Source organism: Homo sapiens, chromosome 1 (assembly GCF_000001405.40).
Source record: "Homo sapiens chromosome 1, GRCh38.p14 Primary Assembly".
Classification (NCBI taxonomy): domain Eukaryota; kingdom Metazoa; phylum Chordata; class Mammalia; order Primates; family Hominidae; genus Homo; species Homo sapiens.
Genome location: NC_000001.11, coordinates 212,652,928 through 212,667,898, shown reverse-complemented (window position 1 = coordinate 212,667,898; position 14,971 = coordinate 212,652,928). Strand labels below are relative to the sequence as shown.

Here is a 14,971-nt window from a genome sequence, read left to right as displayed (position 1 = left end):
CAGGCATCTCCCGGATGATCCTTTCCCCTGGGCTCAACTCACGTTTCTCATTTGACTCTGTCTTCCCCCAGAAGGAAGATGTCACCCAGGAACCCTAACTGGAAACCGGACAGTTACCAGGGCACCCAAAACCCAATATTTGGTTATTACTTCATCCTTGACCTTCATTCCATTCATTCCCAGCTGCAGACAGTAGGATTTCTAAGGAAGAGTTAAGAGGGTAGAGGTGGTGGACTGTCTCTCTGTGATTGTTGTTTTCCAGGAACTCAGCTTGTTGCCAGGGAGATGTCACACACTAGAATGTTCCCACTGACCAGCAAGGGAACTCTGGAATGACTCATGTGAGGACCTGCCCCAGGAAAGGGAGGGTTATGGCCTAAAACCACACCACCCCCCTCATTGTATCAAACTCCATCCTTTTCAATGACAACTTCAGCCCCTCCCCTTCCCCCACCAGGAAGCCTTCCTAGATGAACCAGAAGCACTGTCTACCCCAAGCCACCCTCACACCTCCAACACTTCATTTGCATATGTGGTTAGCTTTTTAATGATATCAGAGCAATCTGTGAACAGCTTCAGCAGGGGGCCCTCTGGCAGAATTGAATAAATTGGACGGTTAAAGACCTGATTGAGGCCAGGTTTGTTGGCTCACTCCTGCAATCCCAGCGCTTTGGGAGGCCTAGGAGGGAGGATTGATTGAGCACAGGAGTTTGAGATCAGCTCCAGGCAACATGATGAGATCCCCATCTCTAAAATATAAAATAAAAATTAGCCAGGTGTGGTGGCAGGCACCTGTAGTCCCAACTACTCAGAAGACTGAGGTGGGAGGATCGCTTGAACCCCAGAGTTCGAGCCTGCTATGAGCCATGATTGTGCCACTGCACTCCAGCCTGGGCAACAGAGTGAGACCCTGTCTCAAAAATTAAAAAAATATATATATGACTGAGAGCCAGCTTGGTAAAGCCTTCAGAGCCAATGTGCCCTGCAGTCCGTCAACACACATGGAATGATTGCGCACTGGGGAACTGCAGTGCAAGACAGAGATGTGGAAGAAAGACTTGACTCTCAGAGATAGAAAAGTCAGGAAAGACACAAATAAAAACCCCAAAGAACTCCCAGACACAGACCTCTACAAACTGACTTGTTAACCTTTTGGGCCCGATCACAGCAGAAGCAAGGGCTCCACACCATACGAACCTGGGTCAAGGCTAAGGTGCCGGGGCCGGCTTCTTCTCCTCTGCTCAAGCAGGCTTTATATGGAGCACACTCTCTCCAGGACACAAAACAAGAACCATGCCCCTTCCACCCTGGCCCCCCTTACCCTCTCAGAAGGGGCTCCCTGGCCTAGCAGAGAGCAAAAGGCTACAGGTCTCACCACTGAAAGCTGGGCACCACCCGCCCCAAAGCAGAGAAGTGGAGGAGAGGACACTAGGTAGCTGCGCTAGCAGGGTTGTGCATGAAGCCAGCACCTGAGAGAAGACAGGAGGGAGGCAGAATTGAAGCCAGAGGCGGTGGTTTTTGGTGGTCACTATGGCCCACTCTAATTACTATGCACCAGGCGAGAGTCTGTGCTGGGTGCTCCTGAACATACAGATATGCAAGACACGGCCCTTGGGGGTGGGATGTCCTATAGGAGAAATTAGCCAAAAACGCAAGGCTGCCTGCATTGAATGCCAAATGATGGACACACACCATAAGTGTCAGAGGAAAAGAAATAATATTTACTGAGTACTTACTATGTGTTAAAGCACCTGTAAATGGTTTAGATGTATTTAATTTTTCCAACAGCCCATGAAGTGATTACTGGTATTATTTCCACTTTATGGATGAGAAAATTGAGGCTCAAAGAGTCTTAAAACACTTGCTTGGTGTCACACAATTTTTCATGGTAGATTCAGATTTTCAACTCAAAATTCTACCTCTCCAAGTGCGCGCGCGCGGACCCACGCACATGCATGGTTTTCTTGATGGGAGAGGATTTTGGGAAAGAGAGGTGACACCAGGCACGGGACTCTGGCTCCTACGCATAACTTATTTTTGACACATAGAGGGAACTTCGACGGCTACGTTTTCAAGCAGAGGGATGTCTTCTAACGAAGAGTTCATTTTTGATGTTTAGTTGTGCAGTCGTTAAGTCTGCGAGTTGCGATCCTGCTTCAGTTGTGCTGTGGGAGCGCAGTGGCCCAGGACTGGCTGGCCCGGCTGGGGAGGAGCCCAGGGAAAGAGGAAGGGAGGGCAGGGGAGGGGAGAAGCAGCTGTCCCCGGGCTGCCTGGGAGTCACTGGGGAGTCCTAGCCCGCCCTTGGGCCTAGGGCTCCCTGATGCGGCCTCCACTCTTCGCAGGGCCAGGGGGCGAGGAAGGAGGAGGGAGGGAAGAGGGAAGCTGGGGAGTGGGAGAGCGTCCTCCACGACCGCTTGGGTCCTCCGCGGGGCAGCCTCGGGGAGGGTGGCTGCAGGGCCCGGAGTCGCCTGGATCGCAGCGCCATCTCGTGGCTGCTGGCAGGTCTGCCTTGGGCCCTCTTGGCACAAGGCAAGGAAACAGGAGCTCTTCCCATCAGTGACAGGTGCCCGCCGGCCCGCAGTGAGTCCCAGGGGGCTTTCTCCTGCGTCAGGGAGCCAGGAGGGGAAGGGGGCATGGGTGCTGGGACCAGATTTCCCTGACTCTGTGCTCCTGGGTAAGGACTGATTGTCAAGAGTGGGCTTCCAGTTCTACCCCAGGCCCTGAGGGTCTTGTCCTTTTGCTGGGAGCCCCCACCGTTCTCCCCTACTCCCTCCTGTCTTCTCAAACGATAGCATAATGGAAGAAATCATCCTTAGAGTATGCAGGCCAGAACCCTGCCCCGTTGCGTAAGAGCTGTTGTCCCCGCGTCTCTCTGAGCCTCAACGGTTTTATCTGTTAAAGGGCATAATAACACCAGGAGAAGAATATATTGTAAAGCCTCTAGCACAGTGCCTTCAAGTAGTAGGAACTTAATCCATCCTTGAAGGCGACATCATTGTCAGTGGTTACAACAGGTCTCAATGTTGCGGAAGCTCATGCTTAGCAGATGGTAGGTGCCCTGGGAATATTGCAAACTAGTAGCGATGTCTTCTTAGCTCCAGCCCGAGAATGGGACAGTCCTAGTGCTAGATGTTTGCCTAGTTTCATAGATGATAACAATCCAGCTGGTCTTGCAAACCTAGTAAAAATAGCTGTCTATTCTACCCATCAGCCCAGGAGAATGCTCCAGTGTCACCAGTGACTCCTGCTCCCACATCTGCCTACAGGAAGCCCTCTTGGAACAAAAGCATCTCACTTCTGGGAGGCATCAAGGTAGTGAGGGGAGAGGGCAGTGGTGTGGGTTACACAGACCTGGGGCTCCCTTACCAGGTGAGGACCTGGAGCAGGCCACTAACCTCTCCAAACCCCATGTTTGTCATCTGTAAATCAGGGATATTATTATACTTCCCACCTCTTTAGGCTTGTATGGAATTGAATGAGATTATTAATGTAAAACACTTAGCACGGTGGTTTTAGTGTGCATCAGCATCACCTGAGGATTTATTAAAATATGAGTTGCTGGGCCCCACCTCAAGTTTCTCAAGCTGTAGGACCGTGGTGTGGCTCAATAATTTATTTGCACTTCTAATTTGCATCTCGGGGGATGTTGGTGCAATCTGTCCAGGAACCAGGCTTTGAGAAGGACTAATCTGGCACATACTAGATCTGCAATGAATTTTTTTATTATACTTTAAGTTTTAGGGTACACGTGCACAACGTGCAGGTTTGTTACATATGTATACATGTGCCATGTTGGTTTGTTGCACCCAGTAACTCATCATTTAACATTAGGTATATCTCCAAATGCTATCCCTCCCCCCTCCCCCCACCCCACAATAGGCCCCAGTGTGTGATGTTCCCCTTCCTGTGTCCACGTGTTCTCATTGTTCAATTCCCACCTATGAGTGAGAACATGCGGTGTTTGGTTTTTTGTCCTTGCGATAGTTTGCTGAGAATGATGGTTTCCAGCTTCATCCATGTCCCTACAAAGGACATGAACTCATCATTTTTTTATGGCTGCATAGTATTCCATGGTGTATATGTGCCACATTTTCTTAATCCATTCTGTTATTGTTGGACATTTGGGTTGGTTCCAAGTCTTTGCTATTGTGAATAGTGCCGCAATAAACATACGTGTGCATGTGTCTTTATAGCAGCATGATTTATAATCCTTTGGGTATATACCCAGTAATGGGATGGCTGGGTCAAATGGTATTTCTAGTTCTAGATCCCTGAGGAATTGCCACACTGACTTCCACGATGGTTGAACTAGTTTACAGTCCCACCAACAGTGTAAGTGTTCCTATTTCTCCACATCCTCTCCAGCACCTGTTGTTTCCTGACTTTTTAATGATCGCCATTCTAACTGGTGTGAGATGGTATCTCACTGTGGTTTTGATTTGCATTTCTCTGATGGCCAGTGATGATGAGCATTTTTTCATGTGTCTGTTGGCTGCATAAATGTCTTCTTTTGAGAAGTGTCTATTCATATCCTTCACCCACTTTTTGATGGGGTTGTTTTTTTCTTGTAAATTTGTGTGAGTTCGTTGTAGATTCTGGATATTCGCCCTTTGTCAGATGAGTAGATTGCAAAAATTTTCTCCCATTCTGTAGGTTGCCTGTTCACTCTGATGGTAGTTTCTTTTGCTGTGCAGAAGCTCTTTAGTTTAATTAGATCCCATTTGTCAATTTTGGCTTTTGTTGCTATTGCTTTTGGTGTTTTAGACATGAAGTCTTTGCCCACGCCTATGTCCTGAATGGTATTGCCTAGGTTTTCTTCTAGGGTTTTTACGGTTTTAGGTCTAACATTTAAGTCTTTAATCCATCTTGAATTAATTTTTGTATAAGGTATAAGGAAGGGATCCAGTTTCAGCTTTCTATATATGGCTAGCCAGTTTTGCCAGCATCATTTGTTAAATAGGGAATCGTTTCCCCGTTTCTTGTTTTTGTCAGGTTTGTCAAAGATCAGATGGTTGTAGATATGCAGCATTATTTCTGAGGGCTCTGTTCTGTTCCATTGATCTATATCTCTGTTTTGGTACCAGTACCATGCTGTTTTGGTTACTGTAGCCTTGTAGTATAGTTTGAAGTCAGGTAGCGTGATGTCTCCAGCTTTGTTCTTTTGGCTTAGGATTGACTTGGCAATGCGGGCTTTTTTTTGGTTCCATATGAACTTTAAAGTAGTTTTTTCCAATTCTGTGAAGAAAGTCATTGGTAGCTTGATGGGGATGGCATTGAATCTATAAATTACCTTGGGCAGTATGGCCATTTTCATGATATTGATTCTTCCTACTGATGAGCATGGAATGTTCTTCCATTTGTTTGTATCCTTTTTTATTTCATTGAGGAGTGGTTTGTAGTTCTCCTTAAAGAGGTCCTTCACATCCCTTGTAAGTTGGATTCCTAGATATTTTATTCTCTTTGAAGCAGTTGTGAATGGGAATTCACTCATGATTTGGCTCTCTGTTTGTCTGTTTTTGGTGTATAAGAATGCTTGTGATTTTTGCACATTGATTTTGTATCCTGAGACGTTGCTGAAGTTGCCTATCAGATTAAGGAGATTTTGGGCTGAGACAATAGGGTTTTCCAGATATACAATCATGTCATCTGCAAACAGGGACAATTTGACTTCCTCTTTTCCTCATTGAATACCCTTTATTTCCTTCTCCTGCCTGATTGCCCTGGCCAGAACTTCCAACACTATGTTGAATAGGAGTGGTGAGAGAGGGCATCCCTCTCTTGTGCCAGTTTTCAAAGGGAATCCTTCCAGTTTTTGCCCATTCAGTATGATATTGGCTGTGGGTCTGTCATAGATAGCTCTTATTGTTTTGAGATACGTCCCATCAATACCTAATTTATTGAGAGTTTTTAGCATGAAGGGTTGTTGAATTTTGTCAAAGGCCTTTTCTGCATCTATTGAGATACTCATATGGTTTTTGTCATTGGTTCTGTTTATATGCTGGATTATGTTTATTGATTTGCATATGTTGAACCAGCCTTGCATCCCAGGGATGAAGCCCACTTGATCATGGTGGATAAGTTTTTGATGTGTTGCTGGATTCGGTTTGCCAGTGTTTTACTGAGGATTTTTGCATCGATGTTCATCAGGGATATTGGTCTAAAATTCTCTTTTGTTGTTGTGTCTCTGCCAGGCTTTGGTATCAGGATGATGCTGGCCTCATAAAATGAGTTAGGGAGGATTCCCTCTTTTTCTATTGATTGGAATAGTTTCAGAAGGAATGGTACCAGCTCCTCCTTGTACCTCTGGTAGAATTCAGCTGTGAATCCATCTGGTCCTGGACTTTTTTTGGTTGGTAAGCTATTAATTATTGCCTCAATTTCAGAGTCTGTTATTGGTCTATTCAGAGATTCAAGTTCTTCCTGGTTTAGTCTTGGGAGGGTGTATGTGTTGAGGAATTTATCCATTTCTTCTAGATTTTCTAGTTTATTTGCGTAGAGGTGTTTATAGTATTCTCTGATGGTAGTTTGTATTTCTGTGAGATCGGTGGTGATATCCCCTTCATCATTTTTTATTGAGTCTATTTGATTCTTCTCTCTTTTCTTCTTCATTAATCTTGCTAGCAGTCTATCAATTTTGTTGATCTTTTCAAAAAACCAGCTCCTGGATTCATTGATTTTTTGAAGGGTTTTTTTGTGTCTCTATTTCCTTCAGTTCTGCTCTGATCTTAGTTATTTCTTGCCTTCTGCTAGCTTTTGAATGTGTTTGCTGTTGCTTCTCTAGTTATTTTAATTGTGATGTTAGGATGTCAATTTTAGATCTTTCCTGCTTTCTCTTGTGGGCATTTAGTGCTATAAATTTCCCTCTACACACTGCTTTGAATGTGTCCCAGAGATTCTGGTATGCTGTGTCTTTGTTCTCATTGGTTTCAAAGAACATCTTTATTTCTTCCTTCATTTCATTATGTACCCAGTAGTCATTCAGGAGCAGGTTGTTCAGTTTCCATGTAGTTGGGCGGTTTTGAGTGAGTTTCTTAATCCTGAGTTCTAGTTTGATTGCACTGTGGTCTGAGAGACAATTTGTTATAATTTCTGTTCTTTTACATTTGCTGAGGAGTGCTTTACTTCCAACTATGTGGTCAATTTTGGAATAAGTGTGGTGTGGTGCTGAGAAGAATGTATATTCTGTTGATTTGGGGTGGAGAGTTCTGTAGATGTCTATTAGGTCTGCTTGGTGCAGAGCTGAGTTCAATTCCTGGATATCCTTGTTAACTTTCTGTCTCGTTGATCTGTCTAATGTTGACAGTGGGGTGTTAAAGTCTCCCGTTATTATTGTGTGGGAGTCTAAGTCTAAGTCTCTTTGTAGGTCACTAAGGACTTGCTTTATGAATCTGGGTGCTCCTGTATTGGGTGCATATATATTTAGGATAGTTAGCTCTTCTTGTTGAATTGATCCCTTTACCATTATGTAATGGCCTTCTTTGTCTCTTTTGATCTTTGTTGGTTTAAAGTCTGTTTTATCAGAGACTAGGATTGCAACACCTGCCTTTTTTTGTTTTCCATTTGCTTGGTAGATCTTCCTCCATCCCCTTATTTTGAGCCTATGTGTGTCTCTACACGTGAGATGGGTGCAGCATCTGAATACAGCATTCCTGAATACAGCACACTGATGGGTCTTGACTCTTTATCCAATTTGCCAGTCTGTGTCTTTTAATTGGAGCATTTAGCCCATTTACATTTAAGGTTAGTATTGTTATGTGTGGATTTGATCCTGTCATTATGATGGTAGCTGGCTATTTTGCTCGTTAGTTGACGCAGTTTCTTCCTAGCCTCGATGGTCTTTACAATTTGGCATGTTTTTGCAGTGGCTGGTACTGGTTGTTCCTTTCCATGTTTAATGCGTCCTTCAGGAGCTCTTTTAGGGCAGGCCTGGCGGTGACAATCTCTCAGCATTTGCTTGTCTGTAAAGTGTTTTATTTCTCCTTCACTTATGAAGCTTAATTTGGCTGGATGTGAAATTCTGGGGTGAAAATTCTTTTCTTTAAGGATGTTGAATAGTGGCCCCCACTCTCTTCTGGCTTGTAGAGTTTCTGCCAAGAGATTAGCTATTAGTCTGATGGGCTTCCCTTTGTGGGTAACCCGACCTTTCTCTCTGGCTGCCCTTAACATTTTTTCCTCTATTTCAACTTTGGTGAATCTGACAATTATGTGTCTTGGAGTTGCTCTTCTTGAGGAGTATCTTTGTGGCATTCTCTGTATTTCCTGAATTTGAATGTTGGCCTGCCTTGCTAGATTGGGGAAGTTCTCCTGTATAATATCCCGCAGAGTGTTTTCCAACTTGGTTCCATTCTCCCCATCACTTTCAGGTATGCCAATCAGACGTACATTTGGTCTTTTCATATAGTCCCATATTTCTTGGACGCTTTGTTTATTTCTTTTTATTCTTTTTTCTCTAAACTTCTCTTCTCACTTCATTTCATTCATTTGATCTTCCATCACTGATACCCTTTCTTCCAGTTGATCGAATCGGCTACTGAGGCTTGTGCATTCATCATGTAGTTCTCGTGCCATGGTTTTCAGCTCCATCAGGTCCTTTAAGGACTTCTCTGCATTGGTTATTCTAGTTAGCCATTCGTCTAATTTTTTTTCAAGGTTTTTAACTTCTTTGCGTTGGGTTCGAACTTATTCCTTTAGCTCAGAGTAGTTTGATCGTCTGAAGCCTTCTCTCAACTCATCAAAGTCATTCTCTGTCCAGCTTTGTTCCGTTGCTGGTGAGGAGCTGCATTCCTTTGGAGGAGGAAAGGCACTCTGATTTTTAGAGTTTCCAGTTTTTCTGCTCTGTTTTTTCCCCATCTTTGTGGTTTTATCTACCTTTGGTCTTTGATGATGGTGACGTACAGATGGGGTTTTGGTGTCGATGTCCTTTCTGTTTGTTAGTTTTCCTTCTAACAGTCAAGAACCTCAGCTTCAGGTCTGTTGGAGTTTGCTGGAGGTCCACTCCAGACCCTGTTTGCCTGGGTATCAGCAGCGGAGGCTGCAGAACAACGGATATTGGTGGACAGCAAATGTTGCTGCCTGATCGTTCCTCTGGAAGTTTTGTCTCAGAGGAGTACCCGACTGTGTGAGGTGTCAGTCTGCCCCTACTGGGGGGTGCCTCCCAGTTAGGCTGTTCGGGGATCAGGGACCCACTTGAGGAGGCAGTCTGTCCGTTCTCAGACCTCCAGCTGTGTGCTGGGAGAACCACTACTCTCTTCAAAGCTGTCAGACAGGGACATTTAAGTCTGCAGAGGATTCTGCTGCCTTTTGTTTGGCAATGCCCTGCCCCCAGAGGTGGAGTCTACAGAGGCAGGCAGGCAGGCCTCCTTCAGCTGCAGTGGGCTCTGCCCAGTTCGAGCTTCCCAGCTGCTTTGTTTACCTACTCAAGCCTCAGCAATGGCGGGAGCCCCTCCCCCAGCCTCACTGCCGCCTTGCAGTTTGATCTCAGACTGCTGTGCTAGCAGTGAGCGAGGCTCTGTGGGCATAGGACACTCCGAGCCAGGTGAGGGATATAATCTGGTGTGCCATTTGCTAAGACCGTTGGAAAAGTGCAGTATTAGGGTGGGAGTGACCCGATTTTCCAGGTGCTGTCTGTCACCCCTTTTTTTGACTAGGAAAGGGAATTCCCTGACCCCTTGCGCTTCCCAGGTGAGGCAATGCCTCGCCCTGCTTCAGCTCACACTCGGTGTGCTGCACCCACTGTCCTGCACCCACTTTCCGACACTCCCCTGTGAGATGAACCCGGTACCTCAGTTGGAAATGCAGAAATCACCCGTCTTCTGCCTCACTCACGCTGGGAGCTGTAGACTGGAGCTGTTCCTATTCGGCCATCTTGGCTCCATCTGCAATGAATTTTTGTTGTCATTCCCCACCCACCCACTTACAAATCAAAAGGGAAAATGAGGATATATGGGGAAATACAACCCAAATCCAGTCAAGTAAAACTATGAAACCCCACATCTAGCTAGACATAAGAACAGTTCAATTTAACAAATGTTAGTTGAATACCTTTTTCTATTTCTTCCATATATTTTGTTGGTTAGGGATTCACTCAAATGCCCCATCTCTTTCGATGCTCATAACAATCTTGTGAAGTATATCATGATCTCCATTAAGAGGTGAGTGACTTGCTTACAGGCACAAAGCTCTGGAAGGCAGAGCACAGCCTCAGTTGGAATTTGCTGACCCGGCTGCGCCCTTTGGAGTGCGTCTCAGACACCTCAGCATGCTCGTGGAGGCCGGCTGGTCTGATGTCAATCTGTCTCAGGAGCTGTCTTCTAAGGGCTTCCATCTTGACTGACTTTCCTGGCCAAGCTCACTCCCAGCTCACACTGCTTTGGGGTCAAGTGTGGACTGGTTTATCCTTGCCAGGCTCACTCGCTCTCTCTTCTCATCCACTGTACTTTCAGAACATGGCTCCCAGCAGAAGGATGAGGCCATCAGGGCCTGGGGTAGACTAGAGGCTCACCTTATCCAGGCCCTCTAGGTCTTATCAGTCCCTATCCAGGCCCTCCAGGTCTCAGGAATAGTCCTTATCCAAGCCCTCTAGGTCTCAGGAATAGTCCCCTTCTCCCCCATCCTGGACATCTGAGAGGCCTCAGTAGCAAGCCACCTGGAGACATGGGAGGAGCTGCCATCCTTCCCTACTCAGTGCCTCCTTTGCCTCTCCTAAGTGGGGTGAAGGAAGGGAAGCCCACTAAACCTGGGTGGGCTCTGGGACGCCAGGATTTTCTCTTCCAGTTTCCTCCTCCAGAACCCAGATGGTTTGGGTTTTTATGTTTGGTGGAACGAACATGGCCTTAAGAGCAAAACGACCTGATTTGAACCAATGCCAGGTCTCTGCTACCAGAATACTTTGTGGTCATTAGGAAGTCTCTTAACTTCTTTGTCTTGGTTTCCTCATCAGCAAAAATAGGCACAGGATGACTCGCCTTTCAAAACTACTGTTTGGTTTGTGTGACATCTGCATGTTAAAGTTGCTGGCACCTAACGAGCAGTGTCTTAGTCCATGCAGGCTGCTATAATGAAGTACCATAGAGTGGGTGGCTTACACACAATCGAAATTTATTCCTCACTATTCTAGAGGCTGGGAAGCCCACAGTCAAGGTGCTGACAGATTCAGTGTTGAGTGAGGCCTGCCTTCTGCCTGTGTCCTCGCATGGTAGAAAGGGTGACAGGTCCCTCTTGGGCCTCTTTTATAAGGACACTAATTCCATTCAAGAGTGCTCCACCATAATCACCTCCCAATGGCCTATGATTGGGAGGTAATCACCTCGATAAAGCCCCATCTCCTAGTACCATCATGTTGGGGTTAGGATCTCAACATCTGAGTTTTTTGGGAGGGGTGGGGGCCACAAACATTCAGACCAGAACAAACACCAAATAACTCTATTTTCCTTAATTTGGTATTTACTAAGCACCTACTGTGAGCCTGTCCATGGGGGTACACAGGTGAGTAAGCCAAAGCCCTTGCCTGCTGAGAGCTTCCACCCCATACCCTTGGCCTGTGTGGACAATGAGGCCGGCCTGAGACCAGATCTCACTGGGGTAGTTGGGTGTAGGAGGCAAGGCTGCTGGTCTGGGGATGGGCGCTCAGGGTGTGAACTCTGCAGCCAGGGTGACTGAAGCTTGCTCTGTGCCTGCTGGGCTTGAATTGCAGCTAATGGTTTTCACAGCTTTGCCCTGGAGGCATGGAGAGCGCTGTGACTCACCGAAGCCTCCTCCACTCAGCAGCCTCTGCTCTGGCATCCTTTGTTGCATGTCCATTCTCCCATTCATTCACTCATTCACTTATTTATTCATTCATTCCACAAACATGTGTCAGGAACCCAAAGTGTGCTGGACTCTGGGGCCTGGAGTGTGGAACACAGACTTGACGGGGAGGCTGAGAGGGGATTATACCCCACCCATCCCACCTCTCCTCACCAGGCCATAAGAGGGGTTGGGGGTAGGGGAGTAGGAGCTTTTCTCCTAGTTCTCAAGGTTCACCTCATGGGGTCCAGGGAAGCCTGATGAAGGAGAAGTTTCTGAAGTTAATTGGGCTGGATGTGGCTCCTGAAGGGATACAGGATGAGGAAGGAGGAGCCATCATGCTGGGGGACCAAGAGAGGGGGGTACCACTGACACCTGGCTTGGAGGGGAAGGAAACGAATTTGGCTTCAGTGTAAGTGTTCCCTTGAATTTCTTTTCTTTTAGAAGATGAAAAAAGAGTGAAGAGGCACAGAGTGGGGAATTGGTGGATAAAAGTGAGCACAGAGAGAGGGCGAATGCTTCCAAGGCCCTGCTCCCTCGAGCCCTCATGCCCTGTCCCTCTGTCTCCTCCACCTCCCTCCCTCTGCAGGCCATCCTCTACTCTCTCATCTCATCAATGTCTCCCCTACCCTCCAGACTATGTCTGAAGCTCCCAAGGAATAGCTGAAAAGTGCAGTGACCCCTAAACCTGCTCCCTCCTATCCCACTCCACCTCTGCATCCAGATTTTGCTTCGAAGTTCTGTCCCAAGACTTACAACCAGAAAAGAAGTCCTACTTAGAAAAACAAGTTGTCTTCATTAGAGGGTGGAAGGAGCAAACAGCCTCCTTCACGCTGAGTTGCGGGTTACTCTGCTAGTGAGCTTGTGAGCTGTTGTTAGTGGGTTGTCAATGCCAACTCCAAACCCCATTTAAATCCTGGGGAATAGGGAAATTGCTCTTAGAGGTCTCATTCAAGGTTAGTTGACAGATGGTGACAGTTCAGCGACTTGTCTAATGATATGCCATAAAGATTCGTTCTCTTCTCTTCCTTTTCGAATTTCATTAGGGAGGTCCCATACATTCTTAAGATCTTCCTTGTCATCTCTGTGGCCACAGACCAGCTTCTGACCTCTTCCCCAAGCACCAGAGCCTCATGGTGGTTAGGAGCTTTGGAGCCAGGGGCGTGGGTTCTTACTAGCTGTGGGAACTTGGGCAAGTAGCTAACCTCTTGGAGCTGTAGTGTCCTCATCTGTAAGATGGGGATAACAATATCTACCCTTTGGGATGTTATGAGAATTAAATGAGATAATGCATGTGAAGGGCTTAGCATGGTGCCTGGTAGAGAGTAATCTCTTAATGTTTGTCAGCCAATACTAATGACAATAATATTATCTCCACTTGGATGACCTACAAGTACCTTAAACTCGGTATTTCTTCACTATAAACCAGTTTTCTGGCCTCACTTTCTAGTTCCCTTTAAAGAAATCAGCATTCTTCCTACATGTCTTTGGGGACAAGGTCACCTGGATTCTACTTTGTGCCTTTCTTGTGACCTTTCTACCTATTCCTTTATGGCCATGTTCAGCCCTTCATTATGTCTTCCCTGGAGTCCCTGATGCCAGTCTCTCCATTCAATCCTCTCCACATAGCCATCAGATTTGACTTTTGGATTATGTCACTCTCCTCCTCAAGAACCTTCAGTGTCTCTCTAGTGTCCACTACCAAAGTAACCACATACTTCTTACACTTCTCTCCACAATATGCCCCGATATACCTGACCACCCACCTCCATGCCCTTCCCCTTGCCCAGATTTTCTCCCTGGAAGTTTACATAATTTTCTCCACCACCCTCTTGTTCTCCAGTATGTGCATCACCAGCAGGACAGACTTGCAGCGCCTATTCTGAGTGAAAAAGAGAATCTTTTGGTGCTACCCTCAACCAACCTCATCCTTTCTCCACTTGGATTCTTCTCAACATTGACCCTCTTGAAAAGATCATAAAAACTCACTTTAAGGTGTATATGAGGAGTTTTGTCTCCCAGGAAGGTTTGCATTGTATCTGTAATGGTGGAGTCTCAGGCATTGACTTCCCAGGTGAAGGAAGGGTGATTTTGGGATGGGGGGGCCTTCCTGAAACCTCTGAAGAAACAGCACACCAGCACCTCTGCCAGCCAGCTGCATCCAGGATCAATGTTCCCCCTAGTTCTGGTTCACTCTTTTGAAGCTTTCCAAGTCCCAGAAGTGAATTCTTAGCCTTTCTTTGAGCTCTCTTTGGTCCAGGCACAGCTGTAGGAAAAATTGTACAGTGGCATGAAAAAAGTGAAGGGTTTAGTGTAGTAAATTCTGCAAATTTTCTTTTAAAAAAAACTGCATTTTAAAAAATAAAAATACTATGTCCTATTGTAAGGTAAATGTATTTCTACATATGCATGTACACAAATGTACTTAAGGGATAATTCAGTTGAAAGTCGTTATAGATCTTTACTGTAAAAATCCTTGGTTTACCCAAATTAATGTTTCTCCTGAAAATGAGAATTCTTGAATTACATTGGATTTGGGGGAACAACTGCTAATCTATAGGACGTGAGCATCTGGTAGGTGCCCAATATATTTTTTATACACCTGCATATAAAGTGCAAATACTCTGGGCTGGGCAACATGGTTTTCAGTTTTTGCACATGTGCACACACACGTGTGTGTATGTGGTAATACGTTCTTATGCGTTCTATCCAAATGGTATTCAGAAACAATACTGTGGCTTTATTTGATGCACTTGTATTTTTTTCCATTATGGTTGGTTTTGAATACACTCACAATTACTGTTTTCAAAGCAGTTCCCATTTCACCCTCTATAAATGTAGATTTATACAGTGGTGAAATTTATACAGTGGTGATTTCACAGTGATGAAAATTGACACTAAAGAGCTGTTCAGCCCTGTTCATCTCACCTGCTGACTACAGGTGTACAGGAAGAGTGCTGATTTCCTCTGTGCCAGCCTGGACATGGCTGGTTACCCAGACTGGGCTTCCAAGGCAAACTGGTTCTAGTTTGTAAACTGTAAATGGAAATGGCTTTACTTCCTTACATATACACTTTCTAAATAAAGCTCTAAAAGGTGGAAAAAAAGAGAAAAAAGAAAAAAGTAAAGGGCATGAAACCAGCCAGAAACTGCAAAAAGTACTCATCCATGAGAGGAAGAGGACATT

At 45.7% G+C, this 14,971-nt stretch overlaps 1 long non-coding RNA gene across 2 annotated transcripts in view, besides 5 other annotated features; it reads left to right on the top strand.

Annotated features, from left to right (window-relative positions):
• Positions 415-634: a silencer, noted in NCBI's record as "silent region_1803". NCBI's record gives its function as "represses an Ori minimal core promoter by ATAC-STARR-seq in GM12878 lymphoblastoid cells {active_cell/tissue: GM12878}" and the evidence as "EXISTENCE:reporter gene assay evidence [ECO:0000049][PMID:35858748]".
• Positions 2,190-2,499: a silencer, noted in NCBI's record as "silent region_1802". NCBI's record gives its function as "represses an Ori minimal core promoter by ATAC-STARR-seq in GM12878 lymphoblastoid cells {active_cell/tissue: GM12878}" and the evidence as "EXISTENCE:reporter gene assay evidence [ECO:0000049][PMID:35858748]".
• The window catches only part of LINC02773 (long intergenic non-protein coding RNA 2773), a 36,718-nt gene continuing 24,000 nt past the window's right edge, over positions 2,254-14,971 (top strand). The window contains exons 1-2 of one of the 2 annotated variants that reach the window (NR_183482.1): positions 2,254-2,556; positions 3,212-3,312. This is a non-coding gene — a long non-coding RNA (long intergenic non-protein coding RNA 2773). Of the gene's footprint in view, positions 2,581-3,211; positions 3,313-14,971 lie in introns of both variants that reach the window. The other variant, NR_183483.1, reaches the window with a different exon arrangement.
• Positions 8,990-9,806: an enhancer, noted in NCBI's record as "NANOG-H3K27ac-H3K4me1 hESC enhancer chr1:212831435-212832251 (GRCh37/hg19 assembly coordinates)". NCBI's record gives its function as "activates a minimal SCP1, AML or CMV promoter by ChIP-STARR-seq in naive and primed H9 embryonic stem cells {active_cell/tissue: H9 hESC(naive and primed)}" and the evidence as "EXISTENCE:reporter gene assay evidence [ECO:0000049][PMID:30033119]".
• Positions 11,089-11,178: an enhancer, noted in NCBI's record as "active region_2512". NCBI's record gives its function as "activates an Ori minimal core promoter by ATAC-STARR-seq in GM12878 lymphoblastoid cells {active_cell/tissue: GM12878}" and the evidence as "EXISTENCE:reporter gene assay evidence [ECO:0000049][PMID:35858748]".
• Positions 11,441-12,258: an enhancer, noted in NCBI's record as "NANOG-H3K4me1 hESC enhancer chr1:212828983-212829800 (GRCh37/hg19 assembly coordinates)". NCBI's record gives its function as "activates a minimal SCP1, AML or CMV promoter by ChIP-STARR-seq in naive and primed H9 embryonic stem cells {active_cell/tissue: H9 hESC(naive and primed)}" and the evidence as "EXISTENCE:reporter gene assay evidence [ECO:0000049][PMID:30033119]".